The sequence below is a fragment of the Homo sapiens genome, chromosome 16, assembly GCF_000001405.40.
Source record: "Homo sapiens chromosome 16, GRCh38.p14 Primary Assembly".
Classification (NCBI taxonomy): domain Eukaryota; kingdom Metazoa; phylum Chordata; class Mammalia; order Primates; family Hominidae; genus Homo; species Homo sapiens.
This window is the reverse complement of record NC_000016.10, coordinates 32930358-32951618: the sequence shown is the minus strand read 5'-3', so window position 1 is coordinate 32951618 and position 21261 is coordinate 32930358. Positions and strand designations below refer to the sequence as shown.

At 51.1% G+C, this 21261-nt stretch overlaps 2 pseudogenes; one reads left to right on the top strand and one right to left on the bottom strand.

Moving 5' to 3' along the window:
- Positions 1-3085: 3085 nt before the first annotated feature.
- The window catches only part of LOC124903682 (rho GTPase-activating protein 23-like), a 28929-nt pseudogene continuing 10753 nt past the window's right edge, over positions 3086-21261 (bottom strand).
- LOC100419016 (proline rich 21 pseudogene) lies at positions 19050-19851 on the top strand (annotated as a pseudogene).

The window sequence follows — 21261 nt, the reverse complement described above, 5'->3', positions numbered from 1 at the left end:
TAATTGAGAAGGCCTCCTGCAGGAGTCAGGCAGGCCCAGACTGGGAAGCGGTAACTGCTAGGGTCTCAGGAGGAAGGAATTTCAAGCCAGGAGGCTTCAGGGAGGCAGTGGCCTGTGAGCTCTGGGGAGGTCAGTTTTGAGTCCACTGGAGACACGGTGGGGTCACAGGAAGCAAATGAGGACATCTTCTGGCCAGAAGGGACTCAGAAGGGGCTCTCCGGGGAGTGTGGAGAAGCCAGGCCCAAAGGGGCAGGGCACGGCTGCTGGGCAAAGTGCTGGCTCTCGAGAAGGGGCCGCAGCCTTCAGAGGCCTCAGCCTGCCCATGATGCTCCTCGGCCCCTTCAGGAAATCTGCCTTGCTTTATGGGACCTATTTCAGACTTCCTTCACTCTGCTCAGACGTTCCCTGCCACCTTCATGCCCAGCAGAGGTCCTCACCTTCCACTTCGCTGAGGAAAGAGCCATCAGCTGGGAGCAACCCCAATGACCTGCTGCCAACACTGCCTGCTAGTGTGCCCCTGCCACCTCCCTCTCTTCCTACTACACCTGGGGATGCATCTGCTAGGAGCACAGGCTACTGCTGCTTCATGGGCTCTGGGCCCAGCTCTTCCTCTCTCTCTGTCTCTCACCTGGATCATTCCCATTGGCAAGTAAATATGTGCTTTCATCTTTTTTTGTTTGTTTGTTTGTTTTTGAGACAGGGTCTTGCTCTGTTGCCCAGGCTGGACTGCAGTGGCATGATCATGGCTCATCACTGCAGCCTCAACCTCCCAGGCTCAAATGATCTTCCTGCCTCAGCCTCCCAAGTAGCTGGGACTACAGGCATGCCCCACCATGCCTGGTTATTTTTGCATTTTTTGTAGAGTTGAGGTCTCACTATGTTGTCCAGGCTGGTCTCGGACTCCTGGGCTCAAGGGATCCTCCTGCCTCGGCCTCCAAATGTGTTGGGATTACAGGCATGAGCCACCATGCCTGGCTGCTTTCATCTTTTAATGAAAGTTTCCCTCAAGCCACATATTTTCCCATTTTTGTTCTGTAAATATCTCTTCACAATCGGACTTCTCACAAGAGTGGTCTATGTATGCGCTCTTCCCTCCCTCACTTTATTAGCTCATTCCATCTGGTTTCTGCCTCCACTGTGCCTCCAAACCTGCCAGACAGATAGTCTATTTCTTCATTAGCTTAGTGTCTGTCTCTCAGTAGAAGATAAGCTTTGTGAGGGCAGGAACCTATCTGTTTGGCTCATTATTTATATTTTCAGTACCCAGCACAGTACTGATATAAAGTAGACATTCAACAAGTATTTGTGGTATTATCATATGAATTAGCCCTATCTTTTTCAAAAGCATTGTTAGGTTTTGGTATCAGGGTAATGCTGGCCTCATAAATGAGTTGGAAAGTGTTTCTTCCTCTTCTATTTTCCTTTCTTTCTTTTGAGATGGAGTCTCGCTCTGTTGCCCAGGCTGGAGTACAGTGGCACGACCTCAGCTCACTGCAACCTCCTCTTCCCAGGCTCAAGCAATTATCCTGCCTCAGCCTCCTGAGTAGCTGGGATTACAGGTGCATGCCACCACACCCAGCTAATTTTTTTGTATTTTTAGTAGAGATGGGGTTTCACCACGTTGGCCAGGCTGGTCTTTAACTCTTGATCTCAAGATCCGACCTCAGCCTCCCAAAGTGCTAGGATTACAGGTGTGAGCCATGGTGCCCAGCCATCCTCTTTTATCTTCCAAAAGAGATAGTGGAGAATTGGTATTATTTCTTAAATAACTATTTAAATAACATTTAAATAATTCAAATATTTAAATAACTATTTAAATATATCAATATTTAAAATTATACTATTTTCTATTTAGAATATTTTAAAATTATTAAAGTAAATTGTTTAAACATTTAAAAAATTCCTTAAATATTTGGTAGAATTTAACAGTGAAACCATCTGATCCTGAAGTTTTCATTGTTGGGGGGTTTTAAATTACATATTCAATTTCTTTAGGAGGTATAGGACTATTCAGGTTATCTATTTTTTCTTAAGTGAGTTTTGGCAGTCTGAATCTTTCAAAGAATTGGTCTATTTCATCTAAGTTATTGAATTTATGGGCAACTTTATGCCCATAAATTCAATAACTTAGGGGTCTATAGCCAGGCGTGGTGACTCACGCCTGTAATCCCAGCACTTTGGGAGGCCAAGAGGGGCGGATCACGAGGTCAGGAGATCAAGACCATCCTGGCTAACCTGGTGAAACCCCGTCTCCACTAAAAATACAAAAAATTAGCTGGACGTGATGGTGGGCACCTGTAGTCCCAGCTACTCGGGAGGCTGAGGCAGGAGAATGGTGTGAACCCAGGAGGCGGAGCTTGCAGTGAGCCGAGATGGTGCCACTGCACTCCAGCCTGGGTGACACAGCAAGACTCCGTCTCAAAAAAATAAATAAATAAAAAATAAAAAATAACTTAGGGGTCTGTAGTGATGTCCCTCTTTCATCCCTGATACTGATAATCTGTGCCATCTTTCTTTTTATTCTGTTAGTCTGGCTAGAGGTTTATCAATTTCATTGATTTTTTTTCAAAGAACCAGCTTTTGGTTTCATTGCTTTTCTTCAACTGTTTTCAATTTCATGGATTTCTGCTCCTCTCTTTATTTCCTTCTGCTTGCTTTAGGCTCTCCAAAGACCTTAAAGGATATCTGTTTTATTTATTATAGCACCCCACAGATTTACTGATATTCCCATTTTATAGATGAGGAAGCTAAGGATCAGAAAGTGGTTAAGTAACTTGCCCAATATCCCAAACTACTAAATGGTGGAGCCAGAACTCAAACCCAGGACTGTCTGACTCCAGAGTCTGTGCTTCTAACTACTGAGTGACATTGCCTCCTAGCCACATAACTCCCAGGCCAGGTCCTTCTACTACAGCAGATGCCTCACCAAACACTGCCAAGGTAAGCAACTTCTCAGCTTACCTTGGGCACTCGGTACCTCCTGACTTCCCTCCCAGGGACCATCAACTTTCCCCACAGTCCAATTGCCATTCCCTCAATTCTCTTGAACAAAAACCAAAGTGGGCTGGCTTGTACAGGGATCAAGCCTTCAGAATTGCCTTCATACGTACCTTGGACTTGACTGAACTACAGGTGGTAGAATCTGTTGGTGAAAGACAGAAAAAAAAATGAAAGTTGCATCAGGGAAAAAGAAAGTTGAGTCTTATGCACACAATTCCTCTCCTCAAAGGCTTCAGAAACCAGGGAATTCTGAAACATGAGATCTCCCCAGGCCCTAGGAGTATGATGGACCTCTGATGTCCATCTATGGGAAAGGGATGGAGCAGAAAATGATGTTAATTGCCACTTCCTCTAGAGGCAGGAAGTGACATCAGGCTGCCAGCCACTGGCCCCTCATTTACCGATGGCTAAGGGCAAGGGGGCATTGTCTTTGAGCCTAGTTCCTCTCCCCTTCCCCGCCTGTCCCTGTTACTCTGAAGCACTGGAGAGAAAATGCCAAATATCAGGTGCAGTCCATGGAAACCACCACAGTGAAACACAGCAAATCACAGATGCTCTGGAGAAATGGAGACCACACAGTGCACAGAGAGGTGGGTGCCCTACATCCACCCCCGAGCACACAACAAAGAAGAGGGACCACATGAATAATGGATAAAAGGGAGAAATGAAATGGGTGGGATGCAGGAGGTGGAGTGGGCTGGTGATTAGAGCCTTGATAGGTTCCACCTCCAGACCTGGGGTCACCCTGCCTCATGGGCAGTGTCCCCAGTTATCACCCAGTTGTGAAGGAGACTAAAAGCATGATTTCTATGGGACTTGGGTCCCACTCCCTTAATATCACTGGGGTGGAGAAGGAACCAGAAACACGTCCTGGTGGGTCCTCTCCAAGGCTAGAGAGGGAGCAGGTTGGTCCAAGGGCCTCCTGGGGTCCCACAGGGTAGTGGGCAGGTGTGGTTAATCCACACTCTCTGGCAGGCAAGTTAGATGCCCCCCTCTCCGGACCCCTCCCCCTGCACAAGGTGAGAAAAGCAAGATGGGCGATCACACATGACACACGGGGCGTGGGGGGCGGCAGGTGATTAGAAGAGACATGGGGTCACTCTCTGCCGTCCCACCCCCATGTCTTCTGGCCCCTCCTGAGCCTGCCTCTGGTGACTAGGGAGCTCCTGTGTGCCTCTGTCAGAGACAAACAGAAATGCTAAAACTAAAGGGAGGGACAACAATGGCGGGGGGAGGAGTCAGTGGCTGCAGCCACAAAGGGAGTGGCCCTCATCTGTCTCTGAGCATGTAAATCATCTGTCCTCTGCCATGAGAGGGCCACAGGCCCTGCAAACAGGACTTAGGGCCCAGGTTTCTTAAGCAGGAGGAGGCGGCCCATTGGGGTGACTGAGGCAGGAGTTAGAGATAAAGAGAAGCTTCTGGGCGTGGCATCGCTGGTCTCCAGAGAGTGTCAGTCCCCAGCCCGGATGACTAGCAGTGGTGAGACTCGGCAAAGAGAGGCCACAAGGTCTGTGGCACTGCAGAAGGGCAGCAATTCGATGCCCCGGTGTCCAGGCAACGGGGAGGGCCCTGGGCCCAGTGAGTGCCTCCTTCCTCCTGAGAAGGGGCTCTAGGATGGGAGGGGCATGGACTGCTGGGGTAAGTGGATAACAAGCAGGGGTAACTGGCATGTCAGTGTGGGGTCCTCACAGTCCGGGACATTCTGCCTGCCTCTGTGCCCACCCAGCCTTCTTATAATCACCCGCCACTGTTAGTGACCGAGGCCACGACACTGCACTGTACCCTTTAAATCTCCAACAGGTCCGCTGGAGGAGGGGAGGGGGAGGAGAAGAGAAAGGGGTGGGAGGAGAGCACGGGGAGAGGAGGAGGGAGAGGTGGGGGTGCAAGGAGAAAAGGAAGAAAAATTAAAAAGAGGAACATGCCCAGAGGGACACAGCCACCCCATGAGAAATTAAAGGCTGAGGAAAGAAACCAGTGAGAGAGGGGGAACAAAGCTCCAACCCTGCCTGGGGCGGGGCAGCTGCACAGACAGGAGGTGGGCACAGGGCAAGCTGGACTTCCCCAGGGAGGGAGAAGGCCCCCAACAGCCCCATCTCCATGGTGGCTGGCAGGGGAGGGCCCCGCTGGGGTGGCACAGGGAAGCTGGGCATCTGGCCAGGTATCTGGGACCATCAGGAATGCAGTGTCCACTCTCCTGCCTCCCCACTCCCAGGCCCCTGTGCTCACCTGACCCCGGGTCACCAGGGGGCACTGTCCTGCCAATGTTGGGCAGGAGGTACTCAATGTTGGGCACTGCCTGAGGCTCCTTGCTGCCCACAGGGGCCTGCGAACAGGAGGAGGGGTCAGCTGGCATGCCCTCGGATGCTGGGCTGCCGACCCCCCAGAGGGGGGTGCCCTGATGACAGAGCCGGTGTCTCCTCCATCAGACCGGGCTCACTGGGGCAGGGACCGTCTCCCTCATCAGCCAGGTGCTCTTGAGGATGATTCCTACATGTCCCCTGTTAGACAGCTTTGTGCCTTCCTCAACATCTCAGAACCACGAAGGCCAGAGCGGCCCCTTCAGCTAGGGGCAGGAGCTGTGTCTCCCGCACTAGACTGGAACTCCTCCAACCTAAGTCCTTCTCAGTAGCCTGGAGGGCAGGAGCTGCCTTTACTTCTGAATTGGGTTCCCTCTGAGCAAGGCCTGTATCTCCCCCATTTAGACTGGGGATTCCTGAAGGCAAGCTTTGTGCTTCTCTATCAGACTAGGGGCTCCTGAGGAGAGGGTCTGTGTTTCCTCCATCAGACTTGAGGGAAGCCTCAAGGACAGACACCTTCCCCAGCTTAAGTCTCGCTGCCTGCCCCACCCCCAAGGACTGGGGCTCACCCCAGACCAGCCCCCATGCCAGCCCAGCCCACGGCATCACTTACTCTCTCTCTCCCTTGTCCTCTTCGTCACTGAAGAACCAGTCTGACTGCAGAGAAGACAAAAGGAAGGGATGAAATCAGCATGGGAAAGAAGAGTCTCTTCCACCTGCTCATTCCAGAGGACCCACTCAGGCGGCAAGGGGTGCCTCTCTCTCAACAAACCCCAGGCTGGCGGGGCTGCAAAAGAGGGCTCAGAGGGAGCTTGATGGACGCTAAAACCTGACTCCACAGACTATGAAAAACCCTGGGGGAGAGAAAAGGTGGGACCCCAGTGTGGGAGGAGACAGGGCAGTGAGTGGGAGCGGCCACCTCAGACGGGAGATAGGCTTAGGGAGAGCTTCGCTTTTACTTGCTTTTCTCTAAACACTGTCCTGGGCACACCCCTATGGTATACTCCCCACAGCGAGCCGGGGGGCAGGGAGGCACCAGTGCCGTTAGTGTTGGCCAGGTCCATGGCTGTGACAGCCGAGCATGCCCCAGGCCACCTGCCACCCATGGGTGCCACACTGACAACAGGGGTGTCACATACTCAGCCCAGAAAAGGAAAATGACAGGAGAAAGGTGTTGGAGGTTTCCTGATGGGCAGGAGGCGAGAGCTTTCTCATAAAGGCCAAACAAGAGACAAAATAAAGACCCCCACAGTTTAATATATTTTGTAAAATTTGAGAATCTTGAAGATAAAATTCTAAGTTTTCTGAAAAAAAAATCCAGATTGCTTATAAATGAACACGTATCACAGGTACTTGGAACTTTCAGCAGCAAGACACAAGAAGACAAGACAAGAAAGTAAGTTTTGATGTGTTGAAGGAACCTAGAATTTTATACCCTGCTAAACTCTCATTTAAAAAAATGAGAATGTAAAATAAAGCTATTCTTTTTTTTTTTTTTTTTCCAACAGAATCTCACTCTGTCACCCAGGCTGGAGTGCAGTGGTGCAATCTTGGCTCACTGCAACCTCTGCCTCTTGTGTGCAAGTGATTCTCTGGCTTCAGCCTCCCAAGTAGCTGGGATTACAGGTGCATGCCCTCACGCCTGGAAAATTTTTGTATTTTTAGTAGAGATGGGGTTTCATCATGTTGGCCAGACTGGTCTCAACTCCTGACCTCAAGTGATCCACCCACCTCCACCTCCCAAAGTGCTGGGATTACAGGCATACCACAGATTGTTTTAATCACCCCTTAAGTGAACCTCCTGCTCTCTGGAGCCACCACACCTGGCCTTGAAATAAAGCTATCCTGAGACAGCAGAAAATTTATTACACAAAGACTCTCTTAATTGAATACTTGAGCAAGTAAAGAGATGGACTTCGGCAAGCTCCAAGAAATAACTAAGGCACTTTTGGCTTTTATTGTATTTATTAATTTATTTTTGAGATAGGGTCTCTTGCTGTTATCCAGGTTGGAATGCTGTGGCATGATCCTAGCTCACTGTACCCTTGAACTCCTGGGCTCAAGAGATTATCCCACCTCAGCCTCCTGAATAGCTGGGACTACAGGCATGTGCCACCTTGCACAGCTAATTAAAAAAAAAATTGTAGATTTTGGGATTACAAGCATGAGCCACCGCACCCACCACTTTTGGCTTTTAGATGTGGTGGAAGGAAGACACAGAAACTGATAAGCATTAGAAATTGACAGTGACAGGCTGGGTTCAGTGACTCACACCTGTAATCCCAGCACTTTGGGAGGCTGAGTTGGGTGGATCACCTGAGGTCAGGAGTTTGAGACCAACCTGGCCAACATGGTGAAACACGATCTCTACTAAAAATATAGAAATTAGCTGGGCATGGTTGTGCACACCTGTAATCCCAGCTACTCGGGAGGGTGAGGTGGGGGAATCACTTGAACCCGGGAGGCAGAGGTTGCAGTGAGCTGAGGTCGCACCACTGTACTCCAGCCTGGACAACAAGAGTGAAACTCCATTTCAAAAAAAAATAAATGAATAAAAATTAAGGCAATTACCCTTTACCCCCCTCAACACCTATGAAAGAACAGGAACAGGCAATTTATAATCTCATTATGTAGACTTAAAACACACAAAGAATATTATATATATTTAAGGATAGCCATGCATTTACAATAAGTGGAAGGTGTCCTGGAAGGACACATATTAGCCTATTAAGAGTGGGCACCTAGGGGAATGAAGAGGGGAAACAAGGGGACTTGCCTGAGCATGCGCCATGAGCCTCAGTTATTATTGCTCATGATCTGACATGTGATTAAATCAAACAGCACAGGAAGGCCAGAAGGGAAACAAGAAAGGGATAGAAGAGAAGAGAGCAAAGGAAGATAAGAAAAATGCAAGCTCTGGCTGGGCACAGTGGCTCACACCTGTAGTCCCAGCACTTTGGGAGGCTGAGGCAGGTGCATCAGCTGAGGTCAGGAGTTCAATACCAGCCTGGCCAACAGGGTGAAACCCCAGCTCTACTAAAAATACAAAAATTAGCCCGGCATGGTGGCGTGCGCCCATAATCCCAGCTACTTGGGGGTGCTGAGGTGGATCACGTGAACCCAGGAGCTGGAGGCTGCAGTGAGTGGAGACTGCGCCATTGCACTCCAGCCTGGGCGACAGAGTGAGACTCTGTCTCAAAAAAAAAAAAAAAAAGAAAAGAAAAAGAAAAATGGAAGCTCTGGAGTCAGTTATCTTGGTTCGAGTTCACCTTAGCCAAGTTACTTTCCCTCTGTAAGTCTATTTACTTATCTCTAAAACGGGCATGATGTGAGTACCTCCTTCTAGGCCTGAGGAGGATTGAGATGAAATACTGTATGGAAAACGTTTAGTGAAGCACGTTGTTAATGTATAATAGATGTCAGCTACCGTTATTCAAAAGTGCGGCTTCCAGAGACAGGCTGACCAGGGGGAGCCTGAGGATCGGCCCAAAGAAGCCAGCTGTTAACTCGGGTTGGAAGGTGCCCAGAAGTACTCTGCAAGCCACAGCGTCTACAGGAAGTGCCCGGGTGGCCACGGCTCTCAAGAGGAATCCACACTAGTTCCTGCCACCCTGTTTCTGCACATGCTGTTCTTTCCGCCTGGGATGCCCTTTCTCCCTGCTCTGCCTGGCTAAGTTCTCATCATGGTCCTCTAAGGCAGTTCAAGAACTCCATGACTACGACCCTAGCCCTGCACCCAGGGCCAGGGTGGGTCCTTCTGTGGGGCTTCCTTGGACATAGCCCAGAGCAAAAAGAGATGCAGCTCTTACTCTGATAAACATTATTAAATGAATAAATGAATGAGAAACATCACTTTATGGATTTTTTTTTTGTGTGTGGCAGGGTCTCACTCTGTCACCCAGGCTGGAGTGCAGTGTCACAATCTCGGCTCACTGCAGCCTCCCACCTCAGCCCCCCCAAGTAGTTGAGACCACAGACACGCACCACCACACCCGCTGGCAATATTCCTTCTGAGCAGGCTCCCATGCACCTCCGTGTTCCCAGCATGGGGATCTGTCTCTGGCGTGGAATAATGACCATGAGGAAGAGGTTGACAGTCAGTTCTCACACAACACTTAGGACCTGCCAGGCACCGCCGTGAGTGCTTTAGCAGACATTCACAACAATGTGAGGTAAACAGTATTGTCATCTCTACTTTATAGGTGTGGATACTGAGGCACAGCAGGTAAGGAACTTGTCCAAGGCCACATAGCACATAGGAGCAGGCTGGCCCTAGAGCCACTGCCATCAATCTCCCACCCCAGGGGGCACTTGGCAATGTCTGGAGACATTTTTGATTGTGACAACTAGAGTGATATTCCCAGCATCCAGCAGGTAGAAGCCAGCGATTCTGCTAAATGTCCTATAACACACAGAACAGCCTCCCACAATAAAGACTTATCTGGACCTCAGTGGTCACTAGTGCTGAAGCTGAGAAACATTAGGTATCACTGCCTTTGCTGAGTGAGTCCCTGAGCAAATGCCCTGGGTGATCTTTGTTTGGGTTCCACTTGACTTCGTAAACATAGGTAGAGGCTCCTGGCAACTTGCCCGCTGCAAGATCAGACATCCAGGTTTGCTCTCCTCTCTGCTATGCCATTATCTTGCTGCGTGGCCCTGGGCAAGTCGCTGTTCCTCTTTACCCCTCAGTTGCCACCCTCTTTCCAACCTGAAGACTGGTCTGGGTGCCCCAAGTGACAGCAGCACTGCCCTGGCTATGGAGTCTCTGGGCTAGACAGAGCTGGCACGCTTGGGTGGGCAGGCTTTCAGGGCTTGCAGAGTGGGTGGCTCATTCCCTTGACAATCATCCAGGGCTGGTTACGTTCAAATGCCAAGGAGGCAGAGAAGGGAAGGACACTAGCTCAGTTAGCCAGTTAGCTCTCGGGAATGAATCTCTGAGTAGAAAAGCCCAGCCTGGCCGGGCGTGATGGCTCAAACCTGTAATCCCAGCACTTTGGAAGGCCGAGATGGGAGGATCGCTTGAGTCCAGGAGTTCAAGACTAGCCCTGGCAACATAGTAAGACCTCATCTCTACAAAAGAATACAAAAATTAGCCAGTTGGTGTGGTGGTGGCATCTCTAGTCCCAGCTACTCAGGAGGCTGAGATGGCAGGATCGCCTGAGCCTGGAAGTGGGCCATATTTGCCCACTGCACTCCAGTGTGGGTGACAGACTGACTCTATCAAAAAAAAAAAAAAAAAAAAAAAACCCAGAAAGCGAAAAGAAAGAGAGAGAGAGAAAGAAAGAGAAAGAAAAGCCCAGCCTGATATAACCTCAATTAGCAATTTACTCATTCATTTATACTCCACAAACACTGAGTATCCACTGTGTGCCAGGCGCTAGTGTCAGTGCTAAATGAGACAAACTCCACCTTCTCCACCCTGCCCAGAGCAGGGACTCCCCCTTGGGGCTTTGGCCTCCTTCCTCCCTGAAGGCTGCAGTTCCTGACACCTCAGCTGACCTCAGACCTTGGGCTTCCAGGGGCTTCTCCAGGAGCACAGGGCCAGACACCCACTCTTCCCTGCTGCTGCCCCCAAAACACAACCTCCTGGGAGGTTCCGGGGCTCCCTGGTGCCCTGGAGAGCTAAGCTTTCCCAAGGCCTCACCAGGATCCCAGACGCTGCAGGGCAGCCCTGGCCTCCCAGACAGCTCTGGAGTGGTGTTCCCAGTGTCCGGATGCAGCAGGCTGTGATGCTCCCTCCTGTGGCTCGGAGCCCTGAGCATGCAGTGAAGGAGGAGATGGGCAAGCAAGGCTGTTAACATGGCTCAGCTGCCCACAACCTCGCATCCTTACCCTGGCCCCCTCCCTCCGTCCCAAGCCAGCTCAAGGAGGGACCTAGGAGTCTGGCCTTTGGGTTGATAGCAGGAGGAAAACACAGGCTTTGGTCAGTCAGATCTGGCTTGAAATCTTGGGCTGCCACTTATTAGCTGTGTGACCATGAGCAAGTTGCTTTGCCTCTCTGAGCCTGTTTCCTCCTCTGTAAAATGGGGGTGATAGGGCCCAGCTTTCCTTCCCTAAAGTGTCTAGGGGGCTTGGGACTGAGGCTTCCCTTCCTCTGACCAGCTGCCAGTCTTATTTCCCCTGGCAGGAGGGGCTCTGTTCTCATCCTCTGTGGGCTGTAACAAGAATTGGAAATGGAAAATCTATGATTCATAATGACATCTGTGTGTGCCCCAGAAGGCGGCAGTGCTGCCTTAGGGTTGGGCTCTGGAAGACCAAGGCCTCCTGAGCCCTCTGCTGGCCACTCTGGGCTCTCCTCCGCCCATGCACGGTAACAAGAACCTACAGGACCACGGCTGTTGGCATCCAGGAAGCCATGAGAAGGGAGGTGGCCAGCCCAGTACATGCCAAGCACTGGTGCAGGATCCTGCCTCAGGCCAAGGCCCTGTGCCTTGCCCCATCCACCCCTTGTTACCATGGACATCACCTCTACCTCCCCAAAACCTCAGTGGGGCCAGCAGGGAAAGTCACTAGAGCCGGGGCCTCCTGATGTCAGGCCAGACCTTGGCCCCCGTCTGCTCGTGTCTGCCAGGACACCTCTCCAGGGGCCACCTTCTGAAGCTGCCCCTTCTGCCCTCCACCTGTAGCACCTTCCCTGCCCTTCCTCCTCTTCTGCCTTTCCCAGGCATCTTGGACGCTCGGGGGCCTCTTGACTCTCCTGCTGGGGACACAACATCCCAGGGCAGCAAGGATTCCAGGATCCATTCCTGCCTTGCCTTGAAATGCAGCCCATGGCTTTGGAGGAATATATACCACCCTAGCAGCATGCTCTAAAGCTGCCGAGCCCTTCCTGGGGCACACCCCGCCAGGCTGAGCAAGAGTGAGGGGCTCAGAGGAACATGGCCTGGGCCCCAGGGGCTGCCGGGTGACCCCCGGAACAGGGGCTTACGTGCTGGATCAGTGTCTCCACGATCTTGTAGAGGTCAGGCATGTGGGTCACCATGTCTGTCATGTTGTCCTCAGACGTCCTCACCAGTGTCCGCCCAAAGACCAGGGCCAGGTTCCGGGGTTCCATCTGGGCAGCAGGGAAAGCAGGTCACTGTCAACATCCTGAACTCAGTCCTCCCTCACTCTGGCCCCTAAGGCCTCTATCCCCAACTACATCCTCACCAGTCCCCAGCTTAGAGGGTGGACACCCCCTTGTAGGGGCATGGAGATGCTTGATGAGTAGAGCACAGGCCAGATTTCAGCCCCTTTCATCCCCAGGCCCAGCAGCCATGAGCAGTGCCCAACCTGCACACCTATACAGGGCAGCCCTGAGTGGTCAGTGCCAGCAGTGGGAGACCCTTCAGTAGAAAACATGTTGGAGGTCCCAGGGGTTATTTTAGGCCTGGGAAAAAATCTGATCACTTCCAGGTGCCTGTAATCCCAGCTACTTGGGAGGCTGAGGCAGGAGAATTGCTTGAACCTGGGAGGTGAAGGTTGCAGTGAGCCGAGATCGTGCCAAGGCACTGCAGACTGAGTGGCAGAGTGAGACTTCGTCTCAAAAAAACAAACAAAAAACACAAAAAATCCTATCACTCCCCTCATTTTCCCCACTGCAGAACCAGAAGGCATAAGGGGTTTGATGAGGAAAATGCAATACGAGGGACTTGAGCTAAGTCGGAGGATGGCAATGCATCGGATACGGGGAGCCGGGGTTCCCTGCCTCTGGAAAGCCCTCAGAAACTCAGGAGATGGCTCTCTGGGGGAAAGCACTGACCAGCATGTAGGAGCGGGATGGGGACGGAGCAGTCATAGGAGGAGGGCGTGCCTAGAGGGGCCTGAGTTATTGGACCTGCAGGAGCTCAGTGCGTGCTGAGGGCCCCCACACAGTAAGTCCGTGCTTGCCTCCCCCAGACTCCATGCGGGACTCCTACCCACCTTGTTTTTCTCAGAGTGGTCAGCGATGGTCTTGAGATGGCCCACAAGGAATTTGAGTGTTTCATAGTAGTGTCCTGGGAGATCCCGGATCTGAGCAGGAGAGAGGAGGGGCATGGGGACAGGCTGTAAGGGCCTGCCCCTGTCCCCTGTCACCACCATGCCCCAAAGATCTCCCACTACCATGCCTCAGGGAGTCTGGAACCTATCCTCTAACCCCCGTTCTCTTGTGTGGATGGGGAAACTGATGCCCTGAGTGGAGCAGGGCAAGGCCACAGGTGTCGTGGGCAACACCGGACTCCCTGCCTCCTGGGACAGAGGTGCTCAGGCAGCTGCCCCACCTCGTGCCTGGCAGCACCTCTCTCTCCTTACCAGCTTCCGCAGCGTCCTCATCCACTCCCGCGCGTCCTCAATGCAGTTGGCCTCAATGAAGTCGTTGTATTTGTCTAGAACACAGCAGAGACTCTTTAGAGAGGTAGGGGCAGCACCTTACCCTGTTCTCCAGGCCGAGGGCCCTGCTGGGAGGGCTGTGTTTTGAACTCCTCCAGTTCGGGGGCTCCAGCATGGGCGACAGCCTCTTGTGTATGTGAACACACCCACCACAGCTGCACTTACCACAGCTGCACTCACCACAGCTGCACTCACCACAGCTACACTCGGGTGTGCACCTGACCTGGGGTAGCCCAGCTGTGTTCATTTGGGAGGCAATATGACCTGAGGTGCATGCTGATCGCAGAAAAGGGGTCCATGCCCCCGTCTCCAGGACATGGACACCAAGGTTCAGCAGGTCAGAAGAGAAGGGCACCTGGAGAGGAGGAGGGGCTTCAGACAGCCTCGACCAAGGATTCCCCCAACTCCCTTCAGAACAATTCCATGGGGACCTTTAAAGAATGGAACATGATAAGCCTATTCTGAAATTCATCTGGATGAGCTAATGCACAAAGACAGCCAGGAATAGTTTTTAAAGAAAGAGTAACGCGGGAGGATCTGCCCTACCAGGGACTGAAACATCCTGAATGGATGGCACAGCTGAAGCCGGCTGGCATGGCAGAAAAGGCAGAGCAATGTTAAGGCTAGAAAGGGGGGAAGCGGTCCATGTGGATATTTATTATATGATAAAGGCAGCACTTCCAATCGGGGGGAGGGATGGGGGCCTCAACAGATGTCCCCGGGACAAATGGCTACCATCGGGGGCGGGGGGGATCATTTCTAGCTCACAATACACAAATGCAATCACACGGCAGAGCCAATTGTGAAAATTATAAAAGCACTGGGGAAAAAATAAGAAAATATTTTTATAATCCTAAGGCCATCCTAAACATGAGATGCAGAATCCATGAAGAAAAGATGAACAGCTTTGGTCACATTTTAAACAATTGTTTTCGGCCAGGCACGGTGGCTCACGTCTGTCATCCCAGCACGTTGGAAGGCTGAGGTGCATCAGCTGATCAATTGAGGTCAGGAGTTCAAGACCAGCCTGGCCAATGTGGCAAAACCTCATCTTTACTAAAAATATAAAAATTAACTGGGCATGGTGGCAGGTGCCTGTAATCCCAGCTACTTGGGAGTCTGAGACAGGAGAATGGCTTGAACCCGGGAGGCCGAGGTTGCAATGAGCCGAGATCGTACCACTGCACTCCAGCCTGGGTGACAGAGTGAGACTCAGTCTCAAAAAAATAAATAAAATTAAATAAAAATAAAATTAAAAATTGTTAGGCAGGGCGCGGTGGCTCACGCCTGTAATCCCAGCACTTTGGGAGGCCAAGGAGGGTGGATCATCTGAGGTCAGGAATTTGAGACCAGCCTGGCCAACATGGTGAAACCCCGTCTCTACCAAAAATACAAAAATTAGCTGGGCATGATGGTGGGCACCTGTAATCCCAGCTGTTCGGGAGACTGAGGCAGAAGAATCGCTTGAACCCAGGAGGCAGAAGTTGCAGTGAGCCGAGATCGCACCATTGCACTCCAGCCTGGGCGACAAGAGTGAAACTCTGTCTCAAAAAACAAAACAAAACAACAACAACAAAAAATTTGTTTTCAGTTTCTATACTGCAAAGTGAAAAGGCAAATGGCAGGCCAAAGCAAATATTTGCAAAAACTAACAAAGGGTTAATATGTGTAAAACACAAAGAGCTTTTCTCCCACAAATCAACATAAGAAAAAGATAAACAACCCAACGGAAAAATGGGCACATGGTCTGATCAAGTAATTACAGAGAAAATAGAAACAGCCAATATGCTAATGAAAAAAGATTTAATCTCCCTAGTAATGAGGGCAATGAAAATAAAAACAATAATGAGATGCCATTTCTCTTATCTGATTAGCAAAAGTTTAAAATATTAATAATATTTAATGCTGTCTGGGTGAGGTGGCTCAAGCCTAAAATCCCAGCACTTTGAAAGGCCGAGGAGCGATGATCACTTTAGACCAGGAGTTGAAGACCAGCCTGAGCAACGTAGTGAGACCCTGCCTCTACCAAAAAAAAATTTTTTTTTTAATTAGATGGGTATAGTGGCACAAACCTGTAGTCCCAGCTACTCAGGAGGCTGAGATGGGAGGATCACTTGAGCCCAGGAGGTTGAGGCTGCAGTGAGCCATGATTGTACCACTGCATTCCAGTCTGGGCAACAGAGCAAGATCCTGTGTCAAATAATAGTATTTTTATTTTTATTTTATTGTATTATTTATTTATTTATTTATTTTGAGATGGAGTCTTGCTCTGTCACCCAGGCTGAAGTGCAGTGGTGCGATCTCGGCTCACTGCAACCTCTGCCTCCTGGGATCAAGCAATTCTCCTGTCTCAGCCTCCCTAGCAGCTGGGACTACAGGCACCTGCCACCACACCCAGCTACTTTTTGTATTTTTAGTAGAGATGGGGTTTCACCACAGTCAGGCTGGTCTTGAACTCCTGACCTCAGGTGATCCACCCGCCTCAGTCTTCCAAAGTGCTGAGATCACAGGCATAAGCCACCATGCCTGGCCTTCAAATAACAATAATAGTTGTAATATCCAATGCTGTTGGGTATGTGGAGAGACAGACTCCTACATTGTTAGTGGGAGTCTAAATCAGGGCCTCTTTCTCAGAGTGCAATTGACACTGGTCTCAGAAAGGTTCACCAGGACTTTGACCCAGCAATTCTACATCTAAGAATCCCCTTAGAGAGCACAGATCCAGGCGTGCAAGGACTTATTCAAGGAAAGCCATTGCAACAGGTTGTGTGATAGCAAACATTTGAAGACAAGCTAAATATCCATCAATAGAGGAGTACTTAAAGAAATTATAGTCTATTCAAACCATGAAATTCTATGTGGCTGATTTAAAAGAAGAATGAGGTAGAGCTCTCTGCACTGACATGAATGAATCTCAGAATTACAACTCTGCTTTTGTTAAAAACAACTCAACCAGCGGTGTGCTGGAGTCCACTCACACCAGCTCCTGAGAGCGACTGTGTGCCTCTCTTCCCAATTCCATGTTGGTGACATCATGTTGGTGGCTTGAAATAAACCATGGTAGGAGTATTTACACCATGGAAGCTGGAAAACGCTAGGCATTAGGGCTTTTTTCTCCCAGAAACAGATGTTAAACATCTGCCAGCACACCCCTGAACCCACCCAACTCCAAACCCCACGCAGGCACGTGTGTATCTCTGCCATGCATATAAGAGGGCCAGGAGAGAAACACAACAGATTGTGAATAAGCAGTTCAGCAAACGGCCAAAGCCCATCGGAGCCCGACGCCTGGGGTGGAATCCTGGCTCTGCCATTTACAACCTGTGTGACCTTGGGCAAGGCATTAAACCTCTCTGAGCCTTGGTTTCCTCATCTGTAGAGGGAAGACAATAGCACCTTCCTCATGGAGTTGCTGTAGGGAGTTGTGCTTGGCACACACTAATGCTCAGAAAGTGTTAGCCACAACCTCCCGTGAAAGGGAGGAGGAGATTCACAGGGTCCTGTGCTGTTTTTATTCACATCTGCACAATCTATGTTTTTTTTAATAAGCTTTTGTGTTAAAAAAAAAAAAAAAGCCAGCATGGTGGCTCATGCCTGTAATCCTAGCATTTTGTGGGGCTGGGGCAGGCAGGAGGATTGCTTGAGCCCAAGAGTGCAACACCAGTCTGAGCAACATAGTGAGAAACTCCCCCCATCTCTGAAAAAAACTTTTAAATTAGCTGGGTGTGGTGGTGTTCACCTGCTGTCTCAGCTACTCAGGAGGCTGAGGTGGGAGGATCGCTTGAGCCCAGTAGCTTGAGGCTGCAATGAGCCGTGATTGCGCCACTGCACTCCAGCCTGGGCGACAGAGCAAGACTGTCTCCAAAAAAAAAAAAAAAAAAAAAAAAAAAATAGTAAAACCAAATGCAAAAGTAGTGGTCAGGGGTGCGGCACAGACTGGTGTCCCCTCCCCACCCCCACTTCCACCTCCTACTCACCATCAGTGAAAAGAGGCTCGGGCAGCTTTTGGAAGAAGGACTTGAGCAGGCTGTTGATCACATTGAGGTCTTGCCAGCGCTGGGGGAGGAGTCAGATGTCAGGCCACAGGCAGGCCTAGCCCAATGCCCATGCCTCCATGATCATTCACCCCAGAGCCCAATCAAGCCCACCAGGCCCTCCCTGGGACCCACTTAGACTAAGCTCTCTACTCATCAGGATGGTGGCAGCAGAACTGAGTCCCCAGAGAGGTCCTGTGCCCACACTCACACTTGGCCCCAGCCCCTCCCTGCTCCTGCCAGCACGTGGGCTCCAACACCTCCCCATTCACACAAAGTCCCAGGCACTGTGGGGACACAGTGAGTGGCAGCTGCTGCCTCCACTGGGCACAGTTTAAGCATCCGTGACACAGCAGTCATTCATGCCAGCTCCTTCCTGTCTCAGGTCCTCTGCATGTGCTGGTTCCCTCAACCAGAACTTTCCTCCCCGCCTCCACACAACTGGCTCCTCATCCCCGCCTAAAAGTCGCTCTTCAAAGAGGCCTTCTCTGACCCTCATAGCTAAAGCAGCCACCTTCACCACTGCCCTGTCACCTGCACCCCAGCCCTGACTTTGTTTCCTTCATGGCGCTTAACCCAATTTGTCATTATTTTCTGCTTTTGTTTCTATGTTCATGCCTGTCTCCCTGCAGGACTGTAAGCTCCAGGAGGAGCCAGGATCCCGTCTGTCTCATTTCCCACTGTGCTCCTATCACCTAGCTAGGACAGTTAGCCTGATACTTACATGGCCCTAAATCAGTAGTTCTAACAGAAGGAGGCAATTTTGTCACCCAAACTCCCACTCCACCCCCAGAGGACATTTGACAATGTCTGGAGCCATTTTGATTTTCCCAACTGGGAGGTGACACTTGCATCTAGTGGATCGAGGCCAGGGATGATTCCAAATTTCCTCCAGTGCACAGGGCAACCCCACACAACAAATAATTGTTCTTCCCAAAATGTCCACTGAGGTTGAGAAACCCTACTCTAAAATAAATGGTTGTTGAGTACAAGAACTAACGGCCGGGTCGTTGTCCCTTCTGTCCTCCAGGGGGCACCATCACCCCACATTGCAACCAAGTCGGGCACAGCCGCCTCGCTGGGAATGGCTCACAATAACTCAGGCCCAGAAAGCGACCTAATACCCCCAACAAAGAGACACAGCACAGCAGTACACACACTCATTACAATGGATCCACAGCTTAATGCCAGACAATCCCATAAACAATACACTCCCCACAGGCTCACCAGGGGTTAGATTCATCCCCCACTACACTTACTCCCAGCACGACCCACAACAAATGACACAATGATATCCAAGACAAAACAACACACTCAATATACCTTGTATGCCCCCAGCTGGCCCTGGCTTGGACCAGTTGCCTGCCAGCATGGCCCCCTCATCTCACACACACCCAGTGCGGCTCCTGCCCACCCGACTCCGTTACCTCCTGGCCCTCAGGTGTGAGCTCCTCTCAACTCCCAGCTGCCTAACCCAATGCCCTGGCCAGTGCTTCCTGGCTCCTCCAGAGTGAAGTGTCTGCCCTCACTCCAGCCTCACCGGCGGTCCTCTCCTTCTGTCCCACTCAGCACATGGCCCCTGCTGTTCTGTGGCCCACCCTTGGTCATCCCATGCCCCAGCTGCAGCAGGACCCATGCCACTCTCTAGTCCACGCTCAATCTAGCGCCTGTTTATGCCCTCGCCCCATGCAAGGGACTTTCCATACCCCAAATCCAATGGAGCCACTCCCTGAGACGGCCCTTCCCTTCTACCTCTCCTCACGCTGCCCTACTCCCTGGTTTCTGCCAGGGGAAGATACCACCAGCCCCAGCTCAAACATGCGGCTCTTCCTCGCCCCTCCTTCCTCCCTCTCATGCAGCCAACTCTTAGGGTTGCTCCCATCCTCCCCCTTCCCCCGGGACCACCAAGTCCTCCCGACACTTAGCGCTTCCATAGATCAGTGACTTCTCCCCAGACCCCTGCCCTCCGCATTCCTATCCAATGGACATGAGCAGGAGCATTACTCTTTCTTGAACTTTATACTCACGATGCCTCCCCAGCTTAAGAACCATCAAAAGCTCCCTACTGTCCATCAGATCAAGGTCGAAGTCTTCAGTGAAGCCATCAAATGCCCTCTCTGTCCCCCTGGGGCCTCACCCTCTCCACCTTCATGCCCAGGAGGTAGATCCACTCTCTGTCCTAACCCTCAAGCCCTCCCTGGCCCTTGCTGGGGTTTTGGAAAATGCCATCGTCTCACACCCCGAAAGGCTTCCTGTCCACCTACCCCCTCCTATTCATTCCTCCAATACTCAAATCCTCCAGCCACCACCTGCTCCAGCCTGAGCACCCTGTCCTTCCTCATCACAGTGTGGTCCCTGATGAGAGATCATCTTTTTCTCCTGTCCACAATTTCACACACACTTGTCTCAGCTCCTCATTCTCCAAGGACAGGAAGACTTGTGTATTCCATGAGCCTTCACGTGTGTGACTCATGGGACATCACTGCCCATGTTCATGGTTTTCCAAAATATCTTTTTTATCAGAGCCCCTTTGGGCAAATAAAATTGTACGTGAAAACCCAGTACAACAGACAGGGCAAAGGAGGGTTGCTCTAGCAAGGACACGGGGTCCTGACCTGACCCTGGCCTCCCAAGGCCCCTCTGGGGAACCCTAGGACTCTGGAGAACACCCTTTGAGAATCGCCGGCCCTACTGGAAACACTTAAGTGTGATTGCAGATTCCTTCACAGGCTGGTCTCATCTCGCCTGATCAGCCACTTCTCTTTCCATGTTGCAGCCACCCAAATGGCTGGCCATTCTAGAAAACATCATATATTCCCCTTTTTCTAAGACGGCAGTTTGTAAAACATGATCTGTAGGCAATATCTAGCCACAGCCTTCTTTTGGATGGCCCTTGAGCTAAGTATGGTTTTTACGTTGTTAAAGGATTAGGAAGAGAAGGAGGAGGAAGAGAAGGGGGGAATGCAACAGAGCAAACTACAGCAGAAAATATTTACTCTCTGCCTTCTACAGAGAAAGCTGGTTGACTCCTGGCACACTTTCGCGTCTACACCATCGCGCAGGCCATTCTGCTGCCTGGAATGCCCTCACCTAGCTTTCACCGGCCTTTGGTGAACTCTACTCATCCTAAACACTTGGACAAAACTGCTGTTTGTGAGCCTCTGCCTCAGAGCTCCCCAGGCCATGACTGCATTTACTTGGTCAGCTTCAGCCTGGGGTGATGCCCATCCCCAGGCTGGCCAGCAGAGGCAGTTCCCATCTTGCCCATCTTGGTGTTCTGGACCAATGCCGGGCATGTCATAGGGCACAATGCATGCAACACAATAGAACACAGAACTCTCCAAGCAGAGCACCACCCACACACCATCTCAGCCCCCCTTCCACAGACCCCCCAGCTTCACCCACCTCATCCTGCTGGTTGATGTCACCAGGCCCACGGTTGAGCTGCTCCTGTAGGCTGGACACCACTGCATTGTTGCCAGGCACTCGGTAAAAGCCTGTGGACTCCAGCCCTCGTGCCTCCACAATGTGACAGCATGCAGCCACGATTAAGGGGACATGCTGGGGACACAGGGGAGGGG